The sequence below is a fragment of the Homo sapiens genome, chromosome 1 (genome assembly GCF_000001405.40).
Source record: "Homo sapiens chromosome 1, GRCh38.p14 Primary Assembly".
Taxonomy (NCBI): Eukaryota; Metazoa; Chordata; class Mammalia; order Primates; family Hominidae; genus Homo; species Homo sapiens.
This window is the reverse complement of record NC_000001.11, coordinates 91,905,296-91,912,390: the sequence shown is the minus strand read 5'-3', so window position 1 is coordinate 91,912,390 and position 7,095 is coordinate 91,905,296. Positions and strand designations below refer to the sequence as shown.

Sequence of the window (7,095 nt, the reverse complement as noted above, 5' to 3'; positions counted from 1 at the left end):
ATGTAAACATCAGAGACATTCCACTGTGAACACATTTCTTTCCGGAGATTTTCTTTCTGGAAAGAAATGTGTTCTGGAAAGAGGGAGAAAAGCATAATTACAAAGAAAAGCATAATTTTCTAGGACAATGCATACAAATTTAGCCATAAGGTAATCATTTATATGATAAACATTAAATGAGATTTCATACCTTTTTTTTGTTGTTGTTGAGACGGAGTCTCACCGTGTCACCCAGGCTGGAGTGCAATGGTGCCATCTCAGATCACTGCAACCTCTACTTCCTGGGTTCATGAGGTTCTCCTGCCTCAGCCTCCCAAGTATCTGGGATTATAGGCGCCCAGCTAAAGAGATTTCACACTCTCTTAAATCCAGAAAAATAATGCATGTGGTACAATATTTCCTTCTAGGTATTCTTAAATTCAATCTGTGATGACAATTTAGAGATTAATTTTTTTTTTCTTTGAGACACAGTCTTGCTTTGTCACCAGGCTGGAGTGCAGTGGTACGATCTCAGCTCACTGCAACCTCCGCCTCCCGGGTTCAAGCCATTCTCCTGCCTCAGCCTCCCGAGTAGCTGGGACTACAGGTGCGCACCACCATGCCCAGCTAATTTTTGTATTTTTAGTAGAGATGGTTTCACCATGTTGGCCAGGATGGTCTCGATCTCTTGACCTCGTGATCTACCCACTTCGGGCTCCCAAAGTGTTGGGATTACAGGTGTGAGCCACCACGCCCAGCCTATTTTAATGTTTTAATGGTGTGTGATCTACTTTTCAAATAAGAAAAGATGTAGTTAAATGTTAATTAAGCATTTTACTTCTGTCTTCCAGAATAGAAGCTCCCTGAGGCTGAGAATTTTTTTTTTTTTTTGAGACAGTGTCTCAGTTACCCAGGCTGGAGTGCAGTGGCACGATCATGGCTCACTGCAGCCTCTGCCGCCTGTGCTCAAGTGATCCTTCCACCTCAGCCTCTCGAGTAGCTGTAGTTCCAGTTACTCAGGAGACTGAGGCAGGAGGATTGCTTGAAGCCAGGAGTTCGAGGCCACAGTGCCCTATGATCACACCTGTGAATAGCCACTGTACTCCAGCCTGGGCAACACAGCTAGGTGTGATGGTTTATTCCTGTAATCCCCACACATTGAGAGGCCAAGGAAGGAGGATCACTTGAAGCCAGGAGTTCAAGAAGAGCCTGGGAAATATAGGGAGACCCCACCTCTACAAAAAAATCAAAAATTAGCCAGTCGTAGTGGCACACACCTGTAGTCCCAGCTACTCAGAAAGCTAAAGTGGGAGAATTGCTTGAGCCAGAGAAGTTGAGGCTGCAGTGATCCATGATTGTGCCACTGCACTCCAGCCTGGGTGACAGAGTGAGACCCTGTCTCAAAAATAAATAAATAACGGCCGGGCGCGGTGGCGCATGCCTGTAATCCCAGCACTTTGGGAGGCTAAGGCAGGCGGATCACAAGGTCAGGAGTACAAGACCAGCCTGACCAACATGGTGAAACCCCATCTCTACTAAAAATACAAAAATTAGCCGGGCATGGAGGCATGCGCATGTAAGCTAATCAGGAGGCTGAGGCAGGAGAATCGCTTGAACCCAGGAGGCAGAGGTTGCAGTGAGCCAAGATGGCACCATCGCACTCCAGCCTGGGCGAGAGAGCAAGACTCTGTCTCAAAAAAAAATAATAAAAATAAAAAATAAATACATATCTTAATTACATTGACTGAATAAATTGCCCAGCCTGACTTTCATCTTTGGTTGTGTAGATGTCATCCCTAAAAGGTACCCTATAAATGAGATGCAACACTTATACTCTAATTAGTTAAATTGGGATGGTATGGGTAAGAGACATGATAGAACTTAGTAAATATTTTGAGAATATTAGAGAAAAAAACTGATTCACATAAATTGATTCTACTTAATTACCACTTACAGTAGGTCACACAAAGTCCATTCTCCTTGAAAAGGACTCTGGAAGTACACCAAAAGATGTTAAACCCACTAGTTGCAAAAGCTTCCATCACTGCAATATATCATTTCCAGGGATGGTTTATTTTATATATATATATATATATATATATATATATTTTTTTTTTTTTTTTTTTTGAGACGGACTCTCACTCTGTTGCCCAGGCTAGAGTGCAGTGGCGTGATCTTGGCTCACTGCAACCTCTGCCTCTCAGGTTCAAGATATTCTTGTGCCTCAGCCTCTCGAGTAGCTGGGATTACAGGTGTGCACCACCATGCCCAAATAATTTTTTATTTTTAGTAGAGATGGAGTTTTGTCATATGGTCAAGGCTGGTCTTGAACTCCTGGCCTCAAGTAATCCGCCCACCTTGGTCTCCCAAAGTACTAGGATTACAGGCGTGAGCCACCACACCTGGCCAATTTATTATATATTAATTAGATAACATTTGAATTTGATGCCTTCCAGATGAGATTTTTATGCAATATCTTGGTGATTTAGGAAGACGCCCTAGTGTTATTAGTAACAAGGTTTCAAATTTTGGGTGTGTCCACTCTAGGGAAGATATCTTCATATAGCTCATCTCATTCTTTTTAGTGTTTTCATTGCAAAGGGTGACTACTTTTTTCTCACTTCTTTACCATATTCTATGATTATGCCCTGTTTGGATTGTGTACTCCCATAGGGAATACACAAACATACATATACACACATGTGTATATATATATATATATATATATATATATTATGTTTACATCTTCTTTTCATCATGGATTTTTTTTTTTTTTTGAGATGGAGTTTCGAGTTTCGAGTTTTGAGATGCTGGGATTACAGGCATGAGCCACTGTGCCTGGCTTCATCACAGATTTCTATTGGAGTTTTAAAAAGTTGTATTGGGCTGGGCACGGTGGCTCATGCCTGTAATCCCAGCACTTTGGGAGTCTGAGGCGGGCAGATCACCTGAGTTTGGGAGTTTGAGACCAGCCTGACCAACATGGAGAAACCCAGTCTCTACCAAAAATTCAAAATTAGCCAGGCGTGGTGACGCATCCCTGTAATCTCTGCTACTTGGGAGGCTGACGCAGGAGAATCGCTTGAACCCGGGAGGCGGAGGTTACGGTGAGCCAAGATCGTGCCATTGCACTCTAGCCTGGGTAACAAGAGTGAAACTCCATCTCAAAATTAAAGAAAAAGAAAAAGAAAAAAGAAAGTTGTGTATTATGGGGCTTATATAAATGTTTCCTTTTTTTCCTCCCTGATCATATACTCATCCTCACTCCTAGATGTGGAACATAACCAAGCTGAAAGATGAGATCATGTTTGTGAAGCCCAGTGAAATCTCAACAAGAATCTTCTAATTTGAGAGGCATCAGTATTCTACTCACTCATATGCCAAAATGCTGAAGAATAAAATCAGGAGTTTAAAAAGTCATTTTCAGCATTGGGATTAAACAAAGAACACCGAATTTTTCATTTTTGTATTTTTAAAATATTTATAATAACTTATTTTTTCTTGTAAGCATGATGCTGTTTCACTTAGAAAAATTGACTCAGCCAACAATAGTGATTTGCAAATGCAAATAATGCCAATGTCTTCCTTTTTTTCTCAGTATTGTTGAAATTATTTCTATGTTAACTCTTTTGTTTTTATTTTGAAGTTGGCAAATTTTTATATTTATTTATTTATTTTTTGAGATAGGGTCTCGCTCTGTCACCCAGGCTGGAGTGCAGGGGCTCAATCTCAGCTCACTGCAACCTCTGCCTTCTGGGTTCAAGTGATTCTCCTGCCTCACCCTCCCAAGTAGCTGGGATTATAGGCATCTGCCACCATGCCCAGCTAGTTTTGGTATTTTTAGTAGAGACGAAGTTTCACCATATTGGCCACGTTGGTCTCGAACTCCTGACCTCAAGTGATATGCCTGCTTCTGCCTCCCAAAGTACTGGGATTATAGGCATGAGCCACCACGCTGGGCCAAAATTGGCAAAATTTTATGAAGAACTCTTAGACCACTATTTATTAATTTCCTGATTTGCTTTTTTAATATGAAGAAACATTTTTCCTTTGTTACTTTTTCATGTACTTGTATATGATTATTATTTATTAGTGGTCTGATTTGCTTTTTCAATATGGAAAGATAATTTTCCCTTTTTTTCATGTAATTATGCACACACTTTATTGCTTAGGATGCAGAACATATGAGGATAACTTTTTTTTTTTGGCAGATGTTTACCATATGTGGAGCTTAGTTAGCATAGAGAATACTCATGAGTCAAGAATGGCCCACCCCAATGCCCCTTTGAAACATTTGTATGTGGTTTCATGAAATAAATACTTTTTTTTTTGGAGAGGTAGTTTCACTCTTATTGCCCAGGCTGGAGTGCAATTGTGCGATCTTGGCTCACTGCAACCTCCACCTCCCAGGTTCAAGCGATTCTCCTGCCTCAGACTCCTGAGTAGCTGGGATTACAGGCAGGTGCCGCCACACCCAACTAATTTTGTATTTTTAGTAGAGATGGGGGTTTCTCCATGTTGGTTAGGCTGGTCTCAAACTCCTGACCTCAGGTGATCCACCCGTCTCGGCCTCCCAAAGTGCTGGGATTACAGGTGAGCCACCGCACCTGGCACAAATGTATATTTTAATAGAGTCAAGATGGCCATGCTGAAGTCTTTGTTTTTGGGTAATCCAACCCAAACTATCTGCTGTGGGCATCTATTTTTTTTTTTTTTTTTGAGACGGAGTCTCACTCTGTCACCCAGGCTGGAGTGCAATGGCGTGATCTAGGCTCACTGCAACCTCCACCTCCTGGGTTCAAGCGATTCTCCAGCCTCAGCCTCCTGAGTAGCTGGGACTACAGGCATGTGCCATCATACCCGGCTAATTTTGTATTTTTAGTAGAGACGGGGTTTCACCATGTTGGTCAGACTGGTCTCAAACTCCCGTCCTCAGGTGATCTGCCCACCTCAGCTTCCTAAAGTGCTGGGATTACAGGTGTGAACCACTGTGCCCAGCCGGGCATCTATTGTTTTTTCTGCACACTCTACCATACCTCTTAAAAAATTTTTTAAAAATTTTTATTGTTTGTGGGTACATAGTAGGTATATATATTTATGGCATACATGAGATATTTTGATACAGGCATGTAGTGTGTAATTATCACATCATGGTAAATGTGGTATCCATCGCCTCAAGCATTTATCCTTTGTGTTACAAACAATCCAATTATACTCTGTTTTTTAAAAAAATGTACAATGAAATTATTATTGACTTTAGTCATACTGTTGTGCTATTAGATACTAGATATTATTCGTTCTAACTGGAATAATATATTTTTTAAACAGTAAAGAATGAGATAAAAAAGTGAAAGAGAAAGAGAAAGGTACTGTATTCCTGGGTAAATATACATGCTCCCTTTGCTTTCCCTGTTTCATTGACAGCCATGCACACTTACGTTTATATTCCTCATTATTTGATAATCTTCCCCATTAGAGAAATAGGAAAGGCTCTAGAACACATGAACACACTTATACAGCCTTTATGATATCCAAATTTATCCATTTTACGCCAAAAAAAAAAAGTACTTTCAGTAGTGCCTCCCATGTATCTTTCAAAAGGTACATAGCTCTGGGTGCACAAAAAAATTAACACAATTCCCTATACAAAAGGGACTGCTCAGAGCTAATAACAGCTAAAGAAGAGAGGACGCCAATTGCAGGTACAGGCACATCTCTTCGAACCCTCCCCTAAAACAAATGAAGGACAGAAGAAAACAGAAAACTGGTTAATTCAATTATTACTCTGCGGAAACTTAGGGATAGTGCAAATAAAGCTCTGAAATTAGACTTTACTGAGCCCTGCCTCTTGGGCATCCCCCAAGAAGTGTCCGCGACCCCCCAGAAACCTCAGGGACACCCTCCTAGACACCCCGCCCCACCAGCCTCACAGGGATGAACCTCCCTACCATTCTTTGAACCCCCCTACCATTCCTTTTTGTCTGGAATCAGATCTTGATTTCCTTTTGGGGAATCGCCCCTCCCCTGGCCATGTGGTTCTCGCGAGATGAGCACAGTGCCCCACCTACTCTGAACTAAGAATCTTGTTTTTTTGAGACGGAGTCTCACCCTGTCGCCCGGGCTGGAGTGCAGTGGCGCGATCGCAACCTCCGCTTCCCGGGTTCAAGGGATTCTCCTGCCTCAGCCTCCTGAGTAGCTGGGACTACAGGCGCACGCCACTACACCCGGCCAATTTTTGTATTTATTTATTTTATTTTATTTTATTTTTTAGTAGAGACGGGGTTTCACCATGTTGGCCAGAACAGTCTCGATCTCCTAACCTCGTGATCCACCCGCCTCGGGCTCCCAAAGTGTTGAGATTACAGGCGTGAGCCACCGCGCCCGTCCAGAATTATCTTTAAAATTTATTTCTTTAAGATTTGTAGCTACTAAGAAAGAAAGGAGCTTTTTTTCCTTGGGCCTTCAAACTGAAAGAACCGCATGAGCCTGAAGCTGCGCATGGTCTTAACATCAGGCTGTGCAGGAAGAAGCTATCTGCAGATGGATGCCAGCACACACAAGGAAGCAGAGCTCTGGCAACATTGAGGTCAGTACCTTCTTTTTTGCTTAAGCTAATATTAATTGAATTTCCATCATTTGCAACCAAAAGTGCTTTGATACTGCTTTTCATCTAGGGGTAAGAATGATCAACTTGGTGCAAGCAAAAGTAACTGGTTGGCCAGGCGCGGTGGCTCGCGCCTGTAATCCCAGCACTTTGGGAGGCCGAGGCGGGTGGATCAGCGAAACCCCGTCTCTACTAAAAATACAAAAAATTAGCTTTGCGTGCTGGTGGGCGCCTGTAATCCCAGCCACTTGGGAGGCTGAGGCACGAGAATCGCTTGAACCTGGGAGGCCGACGTTGCAGTGAGCCGAGGTCGTGCCACTGCACTTCAGCCTGGGCAACAGAGTGAGACTCTTACCTCAAAAAAACAAAAACAAAAACAAAAAGTAACTGGTCAACGGTTGTGAGTAATAGAAAACTTATCACAATCTCTTTTGGATAACTGGTAAATTTTTATTGGTTTGGCATGCTAAATTTAGAAAGCTCAAATAACTAGCATTTTTCTGTACCCTAGA

The 7,095-nt window shown here is 42.2% G+C and overlaps 1 protein-coding gene across 2 annotated transcripts in view, besides 3 other annotated features; it reads left to right on the top strand.

The window, feature by feature from the left end:
• Positions 791–1,291: an enhancer, noted in NCBI's record as "H3K27ac hESC enhancer chr1:92376657-92377157 (GRCh37/hg19 assembly coordinates)". NCBI's record gives its function as "activates a minimal SCP1, AML or CMV promoter by ChIP-STARR-seq in naive H9 embryonic stem cells {active_cell/tissue: H9 hESC(naive)}" and the evidence as "EXISTENCE:reporter gene assay evidence [ECO:0000049][PMID:30033119]".
• Positions 1,292–1,792: an enhancer, noted in NCBI's record as "H3K27ac hESC enhancer chr1:92376156-92376656 (GRCh37/hg19 assembly coordinates)". NCBI's record gives its function as "activates a minimal SCP1, AML or CMV promoter by ChIP-STARR-seq in naive H9 embryonic stem cells {active_cell/tissue: H9 hESC(naive)}" and the evidence as "EXISTENCE:reporter gene assay evidence [ECO:0000049][PMID:30033119]".
• Positions 5,727–6,227: an enhancer, noted in NCBI's record as "H3K27ac hESC enhancer chr1:92371721-92372221 (GRCh37/hg19 assembly coordinates)". NCBI's record gives its function as "activates a minimal SCP1, AML or CMV promoter by ChIP-STARR-seq in naive H9 embryonic stem cells {active_cell/tissue: H9 hESC(naive)}" and the evidence as "EXISTENCE:reporter gene assay evidence [ECO:0000049][PMID:30033119]".
• Positions 6,389–7,095, top strand: part of TGFBR3 (transforming growth factor beta receptor 3) — a 225,660-nt gene continuing 224,953 nt past the window's right edge. For both annotated transcript variants that reach the window (NM_001195684.1, XM_047429247.1), the window contains exon 1: positions 6,389–6,565. The gene's annotated coding sequence lies outside the window, so the exon portion shown is untranslated. The remainder of the gene's footprint in view (positions 6,566–7,095) is intronic.